General features: G+C 46.4%; 2 long non-coding RNA genes across 4 annotated transcripts, besides 4 other annotated features; both read right to left on the reverse strand.

The window, feature by feature from the left end:
• Window positions 1-3,071: 3,071 nt before the first annotated feature.
• On the reverse strand, window positions 3,072-11,344 carry LOC105374284 (uncharacterized). 3 transcript variants are annotated; one of them, XR_007096291.1, is made up of 5 exons: window positions 11,225-11,344; window positions 7,512-7,625; window positions 6,284-6,958; window positions 5,777-5,914; window positions 3,072-3,848 (listed from the first exon to the last, which is right to left on the reverse strand). It is a non-coding gene; the product is annotated as an uncharacterized LOC105374284 (long non-coding RNA). The 3 variants fall into 3 exon arrangements; XR_924841.3 differs by having other exon boundaries at window positions 3,072-5,914; XR_007096290.1 differs by lacking the exon at window positions 7,512-7,625 and having other exon boundaries at window positions 3,072-5,914; window positions 6,284-6,961.
• Window positions 5,970-6,069: an enhancer, noted in NCBI's record as "active region_21008". NCBI's record gives its function as "activates an Ori minimal core promoter by ATAC-STARR-seq in GM12878 lymphoblastoid cells {active_cell/tissue: GM12878}" and the evidence as "EXISTENCE:reporter gene assay evidence [ECO:0000049][PMID:35858748]".
• Window positions 6,090-6,249: an enhancer, noted in NCBI's record as "active region_21009". NCBI's record gives its function as "activates an Ori minimal core promoter by ATAC-STARR-seq in GM12878 lymphoblastoid cells {active_cell/tissue: GM12878}" and the evidence as "EXISTENCE:reporter gene assay evidence [ECO:0000049][PMID:35858748]".
• Window positions 8,803-8,862: an enhancer, noted in NCBI's record as "active region_21010". NCBI's record gives its function as "activates an Ori minimal core promoter by ATAC-STARR-seq in GM12878 lymphoblastoid cells {active_cell/tissue: GM12878}" and the evidence as "EXISTENCE:reporter gene assay evidence [ECO:0000049][PMID:35858748]".
• A 3,356-nt stretch (window positions 11,345-14,700) lies between the features above and the next one.
• LINC02038 (long intergenic non-protein coding RNA 2038) lies at window positions 14,701-17,882 on the reverse strand. Its single transcript, NR_146718.1, has 3 exons — window positions 17,525-17,882; window positions 16,951-17,098; window positions 14,701-16,628 (listed from the first exon to the last, which is right to left on the reverse strand). It is a non-coding gene; the product is annotated as a long intergenic non-protein coding RNA 2038 (long non-coding RNA).
• Window positions 16,393-16,576: a silencer, noted in NCBI's record as "fragment chr3:193560309-193560492 (GRCh37/hg19 assembly coordinates)". NCBI's record gives its function as "represses an EF-1alpha promoter that drives an FKBP-Casp9 reporter gene in an ReSE screen in phorbol 12-myristate 13-acetate-treated (for megakaryocytic differentiation) K562 erythroleukemia cells {active_cell/tissue: K562(+PMA)}" and the evidence as "EXISTENCE:reporter gene assay evidence [ECO:0000049][PMID:32094911]".
• Window positions 17,883-19,686: the final 1,804 nt, after the last annotated feature.

The following is a 19,686-nucleotide window of genomic DNA, read 5'->3' on the forward strand; positions in this document are numbered from 1 at the left end:
GAAGCTTAGAAGATCAGGCCCTCCACCCTCCTCCATGCTTGGTTCTTCTCCACAGCGTCTTTGTTTAGTGGGCTCTCCACCCCGACTGAAATCCCTGCAATGACAGGAACTCACCACCTCCTGGTACATCCCACTCCACCTGGGACAGCTCTGACAAGGACAGGACTTCGCAATTTCGAGCTGCAATCGGTCCCCCTACGTATCCCCACCATAGTCCTGTTCTATGGTGGGCCCCCTCTGGGGCCCCAGAGAACAAAGTATGGGTCTTCCCCATGGCAGTCTCTCAGGTATGTGAAACCAGCCTTTCTGTTCTCCAAGGCTTTTCTTCTCCAGGCCAAAGGCCCTCCACTCCTACAAATCTTTTCCATGTGACATGGTTTCAGTTTCCCTCAGCAACCACCCTGCTGTTACCATGCCAGCTGCAAACTTGCCTTGGCCTCCAGGGGACTCACAGCTTGGACATTCTCATTATCCTCCCGAGTCGAGTCATCTCCCCAACTCAGCGTTTTTTATTTTGTTGTTTTCACTCAGTTGATCATATTCTTGGCAAATAGACGTAGGCTATCAGCTGACTCAGCCGCAGAATCAGCAGAAAGGACTGTGTCTCCTTCACCTCTGTCTCCCCTGCGGCACCCACTACAGTCCTTGGGAATGGGTGGCTGCTAAGAAAAGGTTTGTGAAACTGAGTTGAATGGAGAGGGTTGGCTGGAGACCTGAAAGAGGATTTTTAAAGGCCCAGGTCTCATCATCAACGTGGCCACTCACTAGGTGGTGGAAGGAATGTAGAAAGGATCCTTCCAGCTAAAGCAGGTCCGTGGCGCACCTGCTATGGGTGGTTTCTGTGCCAGATTCTACACTAGAAACATAGCAGTCCACCTTCCCTTCTTTGAAGACAGCACAGGATCCACATCACACCCTCTTTATCCCCTTCTTGAAACGTGTGTCTCAGAAAAAGTGTTTAAATAAACCAGTTTGAAGAGCCCATTCTTGTATTTGGGATTCATATGTATATTAACAACCCCGTGGAAAGGCAAAATGTTGTTATCTGCCTCCTGGAGAGCTTAGATCTCCCAGGAGATCTGTGGCTTGTCTGATGTTGCCTACAGTGCCACTGGCCCCTTTTCTCTTCAAACTAAACTGTCAGGAAGATTAGCAATACCAGGCAGGCCCTCACAAATCATGGAGCGGAGGACAGGCTGTCCCAGCACGGATCCTGCAACTGAGGTCAGCCACAGAGCTTCCCATTTTTGCCATCAATTTCTTTAAGCCTGTCTCTCTGGAACCCAGAGCCCACATTTGCAATGAGCCCTAGAGGCTCTTACGAGTTGGAAGCGGTCACTTGATATTGATTTAGGGCCCTTGGGTTTCTGGAAGCATGCCAAATCTGAAGCAGGAAAAAAAATCTCATCGCCAAGAAGACTTTGGGATAAAAATTGCTTTTTTGTGCATCTACTTTTTAGCATTGAGGTTGTGGCAAAGATGACCTATTACTTTTGCAACAGTAACAAAATCTCAGAGGCTAGAGCTTCTTGCTCTGAAATTTTAATTTTTTCCCTTTTTATTTCTCTTCTCTTCTTTTTAATTTTTAGCTTTATGGGGAGCATTGAGAAAAGTTACTGAGTTTCCATACTGACATACTTCAGAGTTGAAAAAAGATCGACAAAAATCTAATTAAAAAATAACCCAGTTGTAAGACAAAATTCCATACAGTTTCACCCAAGGCCTTCTATGCTAAGATTTAATTCCAATCCATTCTCTCAGCAGAAAGGGATCTTCCTTAGTTTTACAAATCTGTGGGAGCAAGGCACCCAGGGTGTCTGGGCCAACCAGGGTCACTCAGCAAAGAAAAATGCCTTTTGTGACATTCAAGTTGCATTTGTCTGGGGTTCCCACACATACTCATGGAATCTGGAAGATTAGCAGTGAAAAATGACCTATTTTAACAGGTGCACACTTGTGTGTAAGTGGGATTTAGCTGAGCGTGGAATTATTTTAACATGGAAATAAGTTGTGGACATTAAGAAACATCACTCTTTTGACCACACAGGAATCAGACACATGGTCAACATTTGGGAGTTTCTCAAGACTTGAAACGGATGTGTTGGTTGGATTTTTCCAGAGGAAGCCATAATATCAGAGAAATAAACATGAATGCCTATAAAACATGACTGTTCGGGTTCCAATTCCTTCCTCAAAGCATGTCCCTTTTCTCCAAGGAACAGAGAGCAAAACTTTCAATTATTAAATCTGTTTTGGAAAGATCGTTTCAAACGTACAAAATAGCAATAGGTAAAGTAAACCCATGTTTCTCAGCACAGTGCTTTTCAGAGGGGTTGTGGTCCAAAGGAAAGATCACTGGCTGAGTCAGAAGACAGTGGCTCAACAATCATGAGACACCTGACCTGGGACAAGAAGCTGCATGTCACTGCACCTTGACATTATCACCTGTGAAGTGGGAATCCTGAGCCTGTGTGCAGCCTCTACCACACGGAGCTATTGGGAGGGGCACGTTAGGTGGTAATGGGAAGATGTGGTGAATGGATGAGGGCTGCCAAGGTCACTGGATCTGTCATTGCGGTGGAAATGACTGGAACCAGACAAACTGGTTTCTGAGCCCTGTTCCCATTTTTGTTCTGTTTTGAGCATGTGTAGTTTTGTCTGTTTTCCCTGAGCGGAGACTCAGGGATACCACATGCAGTAGGAGGGAGTGGCAGACGTGGGATCGCTGAGCCTCAGTAGTGCCTCCAGGAGAAAATAATTTTTTTTCAAGGTGACGGCCATTCTGTCCCGTGACGTGACTTTCCCTGGAATTTATTCAGGGACTTGAATCTGGAAATCATCAAAATGATTTCAAGGTAGATGGAAGCACATTTCTTTAATGAATAGAAAATTGAAATCTGCTTTCTCAAGATAGCCAGATGATGCCTCTTGTGTTCCTAAAACAGCCCTAAAGGTACGATTTCAATGTCTGTTCATCACGTGTTTATGGTGGAGCAAGCTTGTCCAACCCATGGCCCAGGACGGCTTTGAATGTAGCCCAATACAAATTTGTAAACTTTCTTAAAACACTGTTTTTTGTGTGTGATTTTTATTTTTATTTTTTTAGCTCATCAGCTATCATTAGTGCTAGTGTACTTTATGTGTGGCCCAAGACAATTCTTCTTCTTCCAGTGTGGCCGAGAAGCCAAAAGATTGGACACCCTTGTATAAAGAAACACTGACTCCTGGTCATTTCTTTTGGAGAAACACATTGGCTGTGTGACTTTGTTCAGGTCACTTGATCTTTCTGAGGCTCAGCATCCTCACCTTTAAAAGAGGGGAAATGCAACCCCGTCCTGCCTATTCCACGGGGCAGTGTGTGTGTGTGTGTGTGTGTGTGTGTGTGTGTGTGTGTACATACATATACATATGCACACACATACACAGACTCATAGGATGGGGAAATGTCCTCACTATGTGAAAAGCACTTTTTTTCTTTGTTTCTTCTATACACACACACACACAGAATCTGAGGCAATGGGTAAGGCGAGGTCATCCAGAAAGATGATTGAACGTCCACATGGAAAGTTGGTTTGAGAATAGGCTTTACAAGGGAATGGCTGAGCAATGTTTGCTCAGGGCTAATAATTGCAACTATTTAGTGCCTACTATGTGCCTGGCATATGGTAAACTGCGTCATCATTTAACCTTAACAACAGCTCTGGAAGTAGGCATGTCACCATTTTGCAAACAAGGAAGCTGAGGCTCAGGGATACCCCTGCCTTGCCCAGGTTCATGCACCAATAAGTGGCGATGGTTTGGCTCTCTGCTCTGTCTCCGGCAGAATCTGGCCTCTTGCTGCCTCATTCCTGTGGCATAGAGAACAGGGGACAGTGCATGAGTCAGAGTTCCCAGCTGTTCACAAAGACGACAAACTGGTTTCTGAGCCCTGTGCCCTTTTTCGTTTTGTTTTGAGCATGTATAGTTTTTGTCTGTTTTCCCTGCATCAGTTAATATTTCATGGGTTTTTGTTGTTGTTGTTGTTTTGTTTTGTTTTTTTTTTTTTAGACAGAGTCTGGCTCTGTCACCCAGGCTGGAGTGCAGTGGCACGATCTCAGATCACTGCAACCTCTGCCACCCGGGTTCAAGCAATTCTCCTGCCTCAGCCTCCCAAGTAGCTGGGATTACAGGTGCCCACCACCACACCCAGCTAATATTTAGTAGAGATGGGGTTTCACCATGTTGGCCAGGCTGGTCTCAAACTCCTGACCTCAAGTGATCCGCCTGCCTCGGCCTCCCAAAGTGCTAGGATTACAGGCAAGAGCCACCATGCCTGGGCAATATTTCATCTGTTTAAGTCTGTTTTGTAATTCTCAGGCCCGCAGCTCTGTCACTGCTCAGCCTCAGGTGCTGCACTATAAATGCTCCCTAGCTCCATCTCTCTTCCACAGCAGCCCCCAGTTCCCAGGCTGAATTTGCTGGGCCCAAAGCACGGGGATTAGGAAGAGAGGACCTTCCTCAGGAGTGAAGCCCCTCAGCCTCTCAGTTCTTGCAGCAGGGGATCCTGGGCCCTGGCTCTGGCCACCCAAGGAGAAAGCCTGCCTGGGCAGAGAAGGGGGCTCGGAGAGGTCCTCCCAACCACCTATTTATCGTTGCCCAGGCTCCTAGGCCTGGATCTGTCAGCCAGGGCCTGCCCATGGCCCTGGGAGGTGATGGGAGTGGTGGTAGTTTCAGTCTCTGATGAAAGCTGCTGAAACCGGCACGGAGCACACATGAAAAGGACGAAAGAGAAGGCGCAAGGCTGACTGCCAGGTGGCAGGCGTGATGGGACTTGTCTCCCACTTGGGGAGATGAAGACAAAAGGCAGCGTCATCCCCCAGAATGAGTGACTCTGCCTCTGTAGGGCTGTTTCTGAGCAGGGCCTCCGTGCCTGGAAGAATGATGCCTTTGGCCTCCTGAGTTCTGAGCAATATCCCCTGGCTAAGTGGGTTGTTCCCATCAATATTCAGGAGTCTTTGGTGTTGAGAAACCTTGAACGATGTAAGCTGAGAGGTAGCACCATCAATTCCTGTCTAGACTAGATTTTTGGAATCCAGGCTCCCAAGATGAAAGGGTACATTATGAAGGCAGGGCATAAATCTACCATGCCAACAAGACCCACATTCACCTCGGATTATTTACACCTTTCTGCCTCCCTCTGGGCATTGCCTGTCCCACTGTAGCCCACTTTCAACTTTTGACAGGATCACTTAATGCATCATGACCTACAAGTAGCCAGTTACATATATTTTCATTGTGAGGGACTCTGTACCCCAGGCCAGTTTCCCCCTCCTGACTCCCTGCAGTTTTACCTTTTTACTTGGCCCTTAAAGACACCACAGATGCTAAGGAAGGGATGAATGTTGGTCATAAGCACGCAGTGAAACCTGGCTGGGGAGGGTCACCGAGTGTGTATTACTAATTCGATCTCCGCCGCACCCTTGGTCTCATGCCCAGCACCTTTGTGTGGTGGTTACTCAAGGATGTGGGAAGCCGCTGGAGCGAGGCTGCTGACGCACCCCATTTCAGAACTGCCAACGCGGGCTCCTTGGCAACCAGAGCTCACCATCTGCCCAGGCAACCAGGGAGGGCACAGAGGGCAGTGAGCCTCTGCCAGGATGGACAGTTCTCAGCATTGAAAACTAGCTGTGGGTTCTGCCAGTACCGTGGAGCCAATTGTACGTCTCATTCAGCCTCGGGTCCTGCCTTGCCAGCTGCGTGTGGGCCATCTTAACTTGGATGATCCCTGGACGCTTACCATTTAAGAGCATAAGGGTGGATCAGTCACTTTCTCTTAGAGGGCTCCATTTTCCTGTCTTTGTCATGAGAAGATTGGGCTGCAATAGTCTTCCATGTGCCTTCCAGCACCGTGCAGTAGGATACGGCGGGTGTGGACCTTGAAAGCCAAAACGTCGATGTTCATATCTGGCTCTGCTGTGTGACTGCAGGCAGGCCCCTGAACTTTTTCACCCTCATTTCTTTGCCTCTGAAATAGGGCTAGATAAAGCCTCTTGGCCCCTGGCCCCTGTTATTACCCCCAGTTAACAACAGCGCTGATAATGACCCACACTTACTGTTGGCTTCCTGTGAGCCAGGCCGTGCTCTAAGGGCTTGGTATATGATAACTCATCTCATTTGTGAGAAAATCTCTCCAAAGCAGAAACTTCCCAGTTTCACTTTCACTGAGAGTGCTCATGGGCCTTCCCAAGGCCACACAGCCAGCAAGTATTATGTCTGGGACTTGAACTCAGTAGTGAGAGCTTACCTTCTACACGGTTCTCTCTCTGCAAGAGGAACCCCGTAAATGTCATGTCCATTTTCTTCTCCTTTTCTCTTTCAGCTCGGCACACTTCTTCATTTGGTGTCCAAAGTAACATCCACCTACTCTTAATGTTTTCGGCCGGGTGCAGTGGCTCATGCCTGTAATCCCAGCACTTTGGGAGGCTGAGGCAGGTGGATCACCTGAGGTCAGGAGTTTGAGACCAGCCTGGCCAACATGGTGAAACCTCTTCTCTACTAAGAATACAAATATTAGCCAGGCGTGGTGGCAGGCAACTGTAATCCCAGCTACTCAGGAGGCTGAGGCAGGAGAACTGCTTGAACCTGGGAGGTGGAAGTTGCGGTGAGCCGAGATTGGCACCACTGGCACTCCAGCCTGGGTGACAAAGCGAGACTCCATCTCAAAAAAAAAAAAAAAAAGTTTTCACGACTCTCCTCATCCCACACAGTCACCTGTGACTCCTGTCTTTTCTCCCAACCCCTTTTACTTCCATATTTCTTAGTGTTCCAGTTAGAGGGAACTGCTTGTGCAAATGTCCCGTGGCAAGAGAGAGTGCAGAGGGAGGACGAAGAGAGGGAACAACACAGTGGCTGCCTCCAGGCAGGCTGAGCTTGATGAACCAACAGGACCCTGACCATCTGAGCTTTGAGTTCTTTCTGCCTGCTAAGAGAAATGAGAAACTTCTGAAGCACTTTAAGTGAAAGAGTGACATGATCCAGGCTACCTTTTAAAAATAGTTTTTATCCTGCTAGAAACCTTTCCAGGAGCCAGCAGGGCCTTCCTATTCTGAGCCAAAGTTTTTCTGCCTCATATTCAAAGCCTCTGTCCAGCATCCAACTGGGACATGTGTCTGGGTTGGGGGCAGGGAGAAGGGCTTCCCAGGTGGGTGGATGGGATATGTAGTGAAAGACCCTTTCGTTCCAAGTCCGCAGGCCTCCAATGGGCTCTTCCACTCCTAATGCACAGCCCCTCACCTGTTCTCTGCTTTCAAATGGCCCTTTGCCTCCTTCCACAGATCTCTAAGCTTTACTTCTTTCCAGTGAACCTTGTGAAGTCCTTCTAACGCTTTCTGATGAACTCTGGCCTCTATGTTTTCAGAGATTTCTACATCCAGCTATACTATGCTGACAAAGATGTTTCCTGAGCATCTATTAAGTGCTGTGCAAGACTCTGGTGATAAGGACACATAGCTCTGCCCGCAAAGGGTACTCACAGTCTAGTGTTGGGGGCAGAATCAATCATGTACGCAGGTGACGATTGCACACCCAGAGGAAGATGCACGGCGTGGTGAAGTTCAAAGACGGGAGAGATGTTTCTGCCTGGTGGGCTGGGGAGGGATGAAGATCGGCATGGTCATGTCATAGTGAAGGCGGGACTGGACTCAGGCCTCATGGGCAGATGTGGACCGTCACACATGGCAGGAAGGGCACTCTAGATGCAGGCAACAGCAGAAGCTAGCGCCATGAGGCAAGGAAAGCACAGCTTTCTACAGGGCTAGGGGAGTCGATTGCATGAGGGGAGGACTCATGGGTGTGGGATCATGAGAGGCAAGACTGACCAGGTGAGGAACAGGGCCCTTCAGAGAAAAATACCAGTCTGGTTTCAATCAGAGCTATCCTGGTGTACCTAAGTGTTTGAGCTCCTACAAGGCAGGGTCTAGCCACTACTCAGTTTATAAACAGGTCAGCGCCTAGAACTGTGATCTGAACAGTGCGGATGCTCAGAGAGGCTCTGCCTCATGTCCCTGCAGGAGGCAGAAGAACTGGGGCCGAGGACTGGTGGTTAGGCCTGGAATGTTCATTCTCTCTCCCTTTCTTCAGGCCATTCCCTTGCTTCTTCCCATCGGTCACTTCCAAATCTCCATCTTCAAGTTCCAACTCAAAAGCTACCCTGCCCTAATGCCTTCTCAGCAACCCAGCCAGGAAAGCACTGCTGCTCCTTTGGAACCTGGGAGCTTCCTTAGAACGGTCCCTTGCATCTCCTGCACCCCCAGGCAATCCCACCCCACTCAGTATGTGTCTGTGCAGCAGCCCATCCCACCTTTCAGAGTGAAAGGTTTTTAAGCATCTCTCAGCACCTCTTCCCTTCCTGATATCCTCCAGGACCCTAACACAGCAACCACCTCATATTACATGCACAAGAGTGCAAGCTGCCTGAGACGGTCACCTTAAAAAGAGGCCACACTCCTTCCTGGGACCCAAGAGCAGTGTGCAAGAGGTGGTGTGAGGTCGCGGGTGGGGCCTGGGACAGCCTCTGGCATGAACTGGGACTGCACTTATCTGACTCTGTGCCTACTTGGCATCTGCCTGTGCCCTCAGGAAAAGCCTGTATCATGATGGCTGATTGCTGATAAGAGGGGGTAGAGCATGCTCTATTCACCTGACTCCCAGCACAGTCAAACCTGCAACCACTGCTCTGAATCACCCAGGAAAGTCCCACTTCCACCTTGTGTTTTTTTGACCTCTCCTTCGCGTGCATTAAAAGCACCAGGAGCAAGGCCGGTGAGGTGTCTCACACCTATAATCCCAGCACTTTGGGAGGCTAAGGCAGCCGGATCACGAGGTCAGGAGTTCGAGACCAGCCTGGCCAACATGGTGAAACCCCATCTCTACTAAAATACAAAAAAATTAGCCAGGCATGGTGGTGCATGCCTGTGGTCCAACAGCTCGGGAGGCTGAGGCAGGGGAATCACTTTTGGACCCAGGAGATGGAGGTTGCAGTGAGCTAAGATCATGCCACTGCACTCCAGCCTGGGTGACAGAGCAAGACTCCGTCTCAAAAAAAAGAAAAAAAAAGGCACCAGGAGCCAAAAAATATAGATGCCAGGGTGCTGGAAGAGCTCAGTGGAAATGTGAGCAGAGGGAACCTCTTTCTTGGTAGGATTTTGGGGTACACAGTTTTTTTCCTCTGAGGCAGATTCTCCTTACTCCAAATTGGGTGCCATGAGTCATAAGGAGCCATCTCTCTCTGATGATTTACAAACATCTCAACTCATTCTTTGCTTCTTAAAATTGGAGCGAGCTATCAAATGGCTTTATGAGGTATTCATCGAGCATCTCTATGTGCCCAGGGGTGTTGTTGAGGCTTTAGGGTTTACAACAGAATTTCAGCCCCAACCTGCCATTCAAGCCTCAACTCCAAGTGCACCTGCCGTGCTTCAGTGTCCCGGACGAGGCCTGCGGCAGCCACATGGGGCTGCCATCTTTTCTCACTCTGCCTACAAAGTCCCACCACCAGCCAGGATTCTGCTCAAGCTGTTGTCTCCACCTGGAATCCTCTTCCACCCCCATCTGCTTATTAAATTCCCAATAACCTACTTATTCTAAGGAATCCTGCCCACCCTCTTGTAAGGCCCAGCTCTAAGTTAACTGTTACTGGGAGACTGTACAGTTTCTCCCAGTCAGAACTCCACTGCCCCCACCACCTCTCTCATGGCAGAGTTCTGTGTCCCTCTCCAGGCACCGTCTGGAGTCTCCAATAAAGACTCTTTCCCATACAGAGGACTTGTCAGTGCGGTGAAGACAGAGACCAATACCCCAGAGATGAGGAGACCCAAGTGCTGGTCTAGTCTGACCTGGCAGTCGGTGACCTTGGACCCAGGGTCTTCAACTTTAGCCTGTTTTCCCATCTGCGGATGAGAGGCTTGTCCAGAGTAGGATTCCCAATCTGGATTCTGCCTAATCCTGTCTCCTGGAGCACCTGTTCAAAATACACTGGGTCCTCTCCCAGGCTGACAAAAGTAGACTCTCAGAGGGTAGAGCTTTCAATCTATATTTTTAACAAGCTTCCCAGCTGGGCGCAGTGGCTTATGCCTGTAACCCAAGCACTTTGGGAGGCCGAAGAGGGCGGATCGCCTGAGGTCAGGAGTTCAAGACCAGCCTAACCAACACAGAGAAACCCCGTCTCTTCTAAAAATACAAAAACAAAAAAACAAACAAAAAATTAGTCAGGTATGTTGGCACATGCCTGTAGTCCCAGCTACTCGGGAGGCTGAGACAGGAGAATCGCTTGAACCCGGGAGGCGGAGGTTGCAGTGAGCTGAGATCGTGCCATTGCACTCCAGCCCGGGAAACAAGAGTGAAACCCGTGTCTAAAAAAAAAAAAAAAAAAAAATCTTCCCAAGCAACCTGTGCATAGTCTGCCTGGTGCTCCTTTCAGGACTGGGGGTAGCACCTAGAGGGTTCCTAAAATCCTACAAAAATCCCGTGGTTCCTTGAATGATCCTTTCTCTGCTTCATGTGATGCTCCCTAGAATAAACTACATCAACAGCACCACTGTGAGTACAACTCCAGTGCTTGAATGAGAAAACCCTGGGTCATGACTAGGTCTCATGTCTCTCAAAGGGCTACTGTGCTTTGTGGAAATTTTGGATGGTTGGAAACACATAATGATAGCCAACCCATTTATATTAGTTAGCTTGGGTTGACCTAACAAAACACCACAGAGCAGGTGGCTTAAAAAACAGAAATTTATTGCTCACAGTTCTGAAGCCTGAGATATCCAAGATCAAGGTGCTGGTCAATTTGGTAATGAGTGAAGCCTTCCTTCCCGGCTTGTAGCCGGCAGCCTTCTTACTGTATCCCGACTGGGAAGAAAGAGAGCTCTGCTATCTCTTCTTCACCTTATAAGGGCCCCAGCCCTATCAGATTAGGGCCCTAGCCTTCCAACCTCATTTAACCTTTATCACCACCTCCTCACAAGCCCTGTCTCCAAAGACAGGCACACCGGAGGTTTGGGCTTCCGCATGAGTTTGAGAGACGTACAAACACTCAGTCCGTGATAACTCTATGCCTGAGGCTTTAGAGAAAGTCAAGCTGACCTAACAGGCAAATTGGTATCCAGATAAATTCTATTACCTATTTTCCCCAATAAGTTCTTGAGAAATAGCTGCTGCTCCCACCGTTGCATGGTTGATTGAGACTTACGATTCAGGAAGGCGGTGGCTGCTTCCTCCCCATGGTGGTGCAGGCTCCATGCGGCACTCAGTGTGCCCTCCTGGGATGCTTTTGGATAGGTTTCAGTGTGCTTCTGGCTTGTTCCTGTCTATTTCTCCAGCTGGATTTCCAACTGTTCTGCCAATCCTGTGACCACTCCCATTTCCTTCTAACGAAATGTCTTTTCTACCTGAGTCAGCTAGCATGGGTTTCTACTGCTTGCAACTCAGGTCTTGCTGACACATATATCATGCAAGGAATGATAGAAGGCGCTGCAAGTATTTCTTCTGAAGCAGGGAAGTCTCCAGGAGTTGCCCGCTTATCTACAGATACCTAAAGGGCTATTGTATGGAAGGGAAACAGGATGCTTCTGTGTGGCTTCAGAAGGCAATACTGGACCCACAAGGAGAGCTTTAGGGAGAACTATTTCAACTCAACACAAGACAGAAGCTTCAGAGCTAGTCCTCAGGAACATGGTGCTGAGGGATGAAGTGAGCTTGCTCCTGTCACTGTGGGGGCGGGGTGGGGCGGTGGCAGTGGAGGCTGGACCTTTTTGTCAAGGATGCTGTGTAGAAAAGGTCTGTTTTGACACATAGACCAATAGAACAGAGTAGAGATCTCAGATATAAGACCACACATCTACAACCATCTCATCTTTGGCAAACCTGACAAAGACAAACAATGGGGAAAGGATTCTCTATTTCATAAATGGTGCTGGGAAAACTGGCCAGCCATATTCAGTAAACTGAAACTGGACCCCTTCCTTATACCTTATACAAAAATTAACTCAAGATGGATTAAAGACTTAAATGTAAAACCCAAAACCATAAAAACCCTAGAAGAAAATCCAGGCAGTACCATTCAGGACATAGGCATGGGCAAAGATTTTATGATGAAATTGCCAAAAGCAATTGCAAAAAAAGCAAAAATTGACAAATGGCATCTAATTAAACTAAAGCGCTTCTGTACAGCAAAAGAAACTATCATCAAGAGTGAACAGGAAACCTACAGAATGAAAGAAAATTTTTGCAATCTACCCATCTGACAAAGGTGTAATATCCAGAATCTACAAGGAACTTAAACAAATTTACAAGAAAAAACAACCCCATCAAAAGGTGGGCCAAGGACATGAACAGAGACTTCTCAAAATAAAACATTTATGTAGCCAACAAGCATATGAAAAAAAGCTCAACATCAGTGATCATTAGAGAAATGCAAATCAAAACCACAATGAGGTACCATCTCACGCCAGTCAGTATGGCAACTGTTAAAAAGTCAAGAAACAACAGATGCTGGCAAGGCTGTGGAGAAATAGGAACGCTTTTACACTGTTGGTGGGAATGTAAATCAGTTCAACCATTGTGGAAGACAGTGTGATGATTCCTCAAGGATCTAGAACCAGAAATATCATTTGACCCAGCAATTCCATTACTGGGTATATACCCAAAGTAATATAAATCATTCTATTATAAAGATACATGCGCACATATGTTTATTGCCATACTATTTGTAATAGCAAAGACATGGAATCAACCCAAATGCCCAACAATGATAGACTGGATAAAGAAAATGTGGTACATATACCATGAAATACTATGTAGCCATAAAAAGGAATGAGGCCATGTCCTTTGCAGGGACATGAAGCTGGAAGCGATCATTCGCAGCAAACTAACACAGGAACAGAAAACCAAACACTGCATGTTCTCACTCATAAGTGGGAGCTGAACAATGAGAACACATGGACAGAGGGAAGGGAACAACACACACCAGGGCCTGTGGGGAGTAGGGAGGGAAAACATCAGGATAAATAGTTACTGCATGCGGGGCTTCATGCCTAGGTGATGGGTTGGTAGGTGCGGCAAACCACCATGGCACACGTTTACCTGTGTAACAAACCTGCACGTTCTGCACATGTGTCCCAGAACTTAAAATAAAATAAAATTTTAAAAAAGAAAGAATGTTTCCTTGATGAAGATATCTCTGCTTTTAAGATGTATCTGCATTTTTAATTACACTTCAGTACAATTGACGTGCCATTTAAGTAATTAATCTTCCACTAGAGGAAAGGAAAGGGAAGAGAAGGGAAGGGAACCATCTAGTCTTTTACTTATTAATTTTTATATTAGTAATTTTTATGATTATGAGAAGAATCTATAAACCATGTGAAGTGGAGAAAATTTGGTTACTAGAGAAAAACATGAAGTGGAAAATAAATACCACCTATAACCCACCACACATTTTGGCAAATGTGTTTCCAGTCCAGTCTTTTTATATCAATTAGATATGTACTTTTTTTATTGAAATATAATTCACATACCACACAATTCACTGGTTTCAATTGTACCACTCAGTGGCTTTTACTATATTCACAGAGCTGTGCCACCAACCATTGCCACAGTACAATTTCAAACATCTTCCCCAGCCTCTCAGAGAAACCTCCATCCCTTTTAGCTGTCACCCTTTCAGCTGTCACCCCTTAACTTCCCTCATCTCCTCCATCTCCAGCCCTGGGAAACCAAGAATCTACTTTGTGCTTGTATGGATTTGCCTATTCTGGACATTTCATATAAATCGAATCATATAATATGTGGGGGTTTTTTTGGTAACCAGCTTCTTTCACTTAGTATAATATTTTCAAGGTTTATTTGTGTTGTAACGTGAGTGCGCACCTCCTTCGTATGGCTGAGTAATAGTCTGGTGTTTGGGTATAACACAATTTTTAATCCATTCATCACTTGATAGACATTTGGGACATTTGGGTTGTTTGCGCTTTTTGGCTATTATGAATAATGTTACTATGAACTTTTGGCACAAATTTTTGCATGGGTGTATGTTTTCATTTCTCTTGGTTATATACCTAGAAATGGAATAGAATGGGCTTATGTGGTAACTCTATGTTTAACCTTTTGAGGAATTGCCAGACTGTTTTCCAGAGTCTCTCCACTATTTTACATTTCCACCAGCAGCGTATGAGAATTCTGATTTCTCCACACCCTCACCAACAATTTTTATTATTTGTCTTTTTTATGACAGCCATCTAGTGTTATATAATTTCATTGTGGTTTTTATTTGCATTTCCCTGATAGCTAATGACTCATCTTTTTATGTGTTTATTGATCATTGTATATAGTCTTATGGAGAAATAGCTTTCAGATCTTTTGCCTTTATTTAAAAAAAAAAGAGAGAACAAGTGTCTCTCTGTTGCTCAGGCTGGAGAGCAATGGTACAATCATAGCTCACTGTAACCTCAAACACCTAGGCTCAAGCCATCCTCCTACCTTAGCCTTCAGGGTAACTGGAACTATAGGCATGCAACAACATTCCTGCCCAAAAAGAAATTGATGAGGACTCCTGGGCTTAAGCAGTTCTCCCGCCTCAGCCTCCCAAAGGGCTGGGATTACAGGTGTGAGCCACTGCACCTAGTCTTTTGACCGTTTTCAGATTGTGTTCATTGTCTTTTTAGTATTGAGTTTTAAGAGTTATTTATATATTCTAGATACAAACCCCTTATCAGATATATGGTTTGCAAAATTTTTCTCCCATTCTTTTGGCTGTCTTTTATACTTTCTTGGTGGTGTTCTTAGAAATACAAATATTTTTAGTATCAATGAAATCCAACTTAACTATTTTTTCTTTTGTTGCTCATGCTTTTGGAGTCATATCTAAGAAACCATTGCCTAATGCTAGGTCATTAAGATTTATCCCATCTTTTCTTTTAGGGGTTTTCATAATTTTAGCTTTACATTTGAGTCTTTGATCCATTTTAAGTTAATTTTTGTGAATGGTGTGAGGAATGGGAAAATTTATCCCATGCCTCTCTCCTAGCTTCTGGCAGTTCTTGGCTTTTCTTATAGATAAATCTTTCCAATCTCTGCCTCTGGCTTCACATGGCTCTCTCCTGTGTATGTCTCTGTGTCTTCTCTTTTTCTGTCTCTTTATCAGGATTTAAGGCCCACTCTAAATTCAGGATGATCTCATCTCAAGATCTTTAACTTAATGACATCTGCCAAGACCCAATTTCCAAATAAAGTCACATCCACAGGTGCTAGGGGTTGGTATTTGGAGTATCTTTGGGAGGCACCACTCACACCTGTCCCGTGGTCTTCCTCTGAGGATGGGTGAGGAGAAGATCAGTTACTTACTCACTCATCTGCTCACTCCTCCAACAGCTATGCCAAAGGTCATAGGAGGATCCAGGGATATGATAATAAATTGGAGAGGATCCTTGCCCTGGAGAATATCACTATTTGGAAGGGCTTTGGGATATGAATAACAGAAACACAAGGAAAGGGATGGTGAGAGCCATAAGATTCGGAAGCTGAAGGACTAATGGAAGCAGCCCAGAGAGGGAAGGGCTTTCAAAGCAGAGGCTGACATTGTCAGCAAAGGCAGAGGCTAGAGAGCAAAAATAGGTCAGGAATCCTTGCAACTGAGTTTGGCAGTAATGGCGGGTGTGGGCGAGAGAGAGAGACAAAGATAGAGAAGCAGTCACCCAGAAAACTCAGGCTCCAACTGCCATAGTTTCTTTTAGGATATGTGAGGGTGGGCTGGGGTTTGCAGGACCACTTATTCATACCTTCGGGACCCTCCAAAACTGGCCTGGTAGTCTAGAACTCCAGGTAGGGATCACCCTGAACTGAACCTGCAGCTAGAAGATGTGGGCTGACCATGAATTCCATATACCTTCACAGGTGAAGTTGTATGAGCCCAGAACCAGCTGAGTTCCCCAATCCAGGCTCATGCTAAAGCCAGTTCTGATCATCTCACTTCCTCATTTGGCAAGAAAACGCCTCTGTCGCAAACCAATTGCTGAGCTTCATGTCTTTCATGCAAATTTTGCTATAAAATCCTGTCACAACAAACAGAACTGAGCTGCTCCTCGGAGCTCCATGAACGTAGATGGCAGGACTGTCTTACTTTTTGAGGTAGCAGTCACGACAGTTGTCATGGGGTAATATTATTGCTCCAGAGCCCTGTGGCCAGGGTCCTGCTGAGGGCTCCACACAGAGGGGACAGGGTGGCATGTAGACAGAAGGCTCTCACTGACTGGACCTTGGGACCCTTGAGATTCTGAGCCCAAGAGGTGTCACCCCACCCCATTGGACCTTATCGACGGCCTCTCCCCTGAAGAGCAAAGGCTGAGGGCAAAAAGGAAAACAGATTAACAGCGCAAAAGCTCCCTGGGTCTTCAGCCAGGAGCGGCAAGTTCCTTACAAATTTACACACATGTGGCAGAAGCGTAACAATAAGCAGAGTCGTGCTGGGCTAGCTGCGCCGCTTCTGCCGTGGAAGAACAGGTTCGGCAGCCAATCTCCTGGGAGGAGCCCTCTTTGGTGGAAATTTGGACACACAGGAAGAGCACACACTGGTGGGGCCTTGTTCCCTGCAGCACCATCTGGGTGAAAAGGAGGCCAGCATACGCAGTTTGGAAGCAAGAAGTCACAGCATGAAATATGCAGGACTTCCCTCTCCTAAGGCACAGTTTTCCCAGGTTCAAAATAAGCAGCGTGATGTCCTCTGCCCACCCACCCCCTCCTTTTCTTGTAGTGTCCCTTATCTCACTTAACAAAGTGTGGGCTCTCACCAAACCAGAGAGCCTTCCTGAAACAGGCAGAGAGAGCACTGCTCCCCACCCCTCACATCCTCCCTACCCTTTCCCCCGACCCCCCTCGCCAAGCCACAGAGGGAGGGCAGTTCCCAGGGTAAGCCTCGTGTACCAAAAACGGTCTGTGCTCTGCGTGTGCGAGGATTGAGAGCCACAGTGGACTAAAGCCAGGAGACTTGGTGTCGAGTTCTAGCTCTGCCACCAACATGTTCAGCGGCTTGGAGCATGTCACTTGGTGTCACCACGCCTCCGTTTTCTCTCTGTAAAACAATCCAGGTAGTACGGTATTTCAGTGTTGCAAAGATCCTTAGAGATTTAGTCCAGGAGTTGGCAAAATACAGTCCACTGGCCAATCTTGTTCACCACTTGTCTTTGTAAATAAAGTTTTATTGGAATACAACCACGCCCCTCCATTTACAACCCATCTGTGGCTGCTTTCATGCTACAGTGGTGGCTTTGGATAGTTGAGAGAGATACTGACCATGTGGTCTACAAGCCTAAAATATTATATTTGTCTCTTTACATAAAAAGTTTGCCAGCCCCTGCTCTAGGCCAACATCATCATGTTAACAACACAGAAAGAGAGGCATGGGCAGATTAAGGAATTTGCCAAACTCATAGAGCAAGTCAGGGCAGAGGCTGGGACAGCCTGGCGCTCCTGATTTACATTGGCCCAGAGTTCTTACCTGGTCTAAAGCTCTCCGTCTGATTCTAGGTAGAAGCTGTGCTGGGGAGAAGCCTTGTGGGGATAGAGGAGCCGGTTCCATGAAAGAAGTCTATGCAGTTGGGGCAGAACCCTGAGACTTCTGCAGCAGGGACAGTTCTGTTGCATTCTGTATGGGTCAGCGTGAGGCTACCACACCTCAGGGCTGCTGAGCTTAAGAGAGGAGCCAAATGGCTCTCTTGATAGGAAATGGGGCTTCAGGTTGAAATCAGATGAGAGCTGGCCTCTGAGGACATTTTAACCACAGGTCACAGCTCTTGGTAAACTTTAGTTGGCTTTTGAACCACGGGGAGACATTTTTTCTTGCCTCTTTACTTACTGGCTATTTCCTCCTTCTAGCATTCATTAATCTGACTGGTTAACCATTGAACCCAACTCAGTCTCCTCTTGTTTCAAATCTTGTTCTCCCTGTTGGCTTCAGAAAAAGAGTTCACACTAAACAAACCTACTTTTTTTCTCTTTCTTTTCACAGCCAGAGCCAAGTGATAAAGGAGGTGGGGTCAGGGGTGCTATGTTTACTCTAAAAGACACACCCAAACCTGAGCTCTGGGAGTGGGGAGGGCCCTTCTAATGCAGGCCAGCCATTTTCAGAAAGAAATGTATCAGCTGCAACAGACACAAGGCAAAAGCAGCTTAATTAATTGGCCTATGGGCACAATTTAGAGAAGAGATTTATACAAGCCTTAATTTTTCTGATTTCTCCATCATTGTGTAAAGTATCATATTTCCTGCTTCTTAACACAATTGCTATTTGCTTTAAATCCACCAGTTAAATGGAGAGTGGCTTATAAAAGGAGAATTATAAGAATGGAGGAGGGAACAGAGCCGAGGCTGTGGGAAGGAAAAAGAGAAAGGGGCTGGGGCAATGTAAGGGAAGAGCCTTCTGAACAGAAGGGCCTCAGAGCCTGACATCAGCCCTGTCACCACTTTCCTGTGAATTGTTAGGGTCTGCTGGAATGTAAGCTCCATGAGGACAGGATTTTATTTGTTCACTGCTGTATCCCCAGCACCTAGAATAGTGTCTGACATGGAGTAGGTGCTCAGATGTGTATTTGCTGAATGAACGAACACAGTCTTTCAGCAGGGAATTGAGGCCCCACAGTGGTTCATGTGTTGTCTTTGTCCAAACGGATTCAGAAGCTCCTCTTGAATTGGCACAGAAGTCACCATAAAACTTCATGAAGGACAAGAAGGACTCTCTCTCTCCTGAACCATGAAGATAGCTGCAGAAAAATCTCACCCCCAAGGGTAGTATTTCCACTAAACACCCAGGGAGATCCAGGCAGTGCCCAACACAGCCCTGTCATTGTGAGTTTCTCCTTGTCATTCAAAGGGACCATATGTACACAATGTACACAATGGGAATTTATACCTTATTCTAATAATGCCTACTAGTTAGTGAACACTATTTTGTGTCAGGCATTTCACAAATATTTTCTCATTTAGTCTTCATGGTAACATTGCTAGGTAGCTATTATTACCCCCATTTTACAGATGAGAAAATGAAAGGTTACTGATATGGTTTGGCTGTGTCCCCACCCAAATCTCATCTTGAATTATGGTTCCCATAATCCCCACACGTGGTGGGAGGGACCCAGTAGGCGGTAATTTATTCATGGGCGTGGTTACCTCCATGCTGTTCTCGTGATACTGAATGAGTTCTCATGAGATCTGATGGTGTTATAAGGGGCTTTTCCCCTTTTGGTAGGCATTTCTCCTTCCTGCCACCATGTGAAGGATGTGTTTGCTTTCCCTTCTGCCATGATTGTAAGTTTCCTGAGGCTTCCCCAGCCATGCTGAGCTGTAAGTCAATTAAACCTCTTTCCTGTATAACATACTCAGTCTTGGGTATGTCTTTATTAGCAGTGTGAGAACAGACTAATACAGTTACTGAATTTGCTTATGGTCACACAGAGTTCTGATCTGTCTTAGGCTTGTCTGACCCTATAGACAGTGCTCCTTCCCCCAACCACACATTCTGCCTCTGTCTCTGTAACCTTGGGCAAGTCACTTCTCTTGGGCTTCAATGTTTGTGTTCTCAAATGTGGGAAGCTGAGCGATGTTATTTAGAAAGTTTTCCACCTGTGGGTCTGTGAACAGATGACTTCATTCCTTTGCAGGCTA

Source organism: Homo sapiens, chromosome 3, assembly GCF_000001405.40.
Source record: "Homo sapiens chromosome 3, GRCh38.p14 Primary Assembly".
Lineage (NCBI taxonomy): Eukaryota > Metazoa > Chordata > Mammalia > Primates > Hominidae > Homo > Homo sapiens.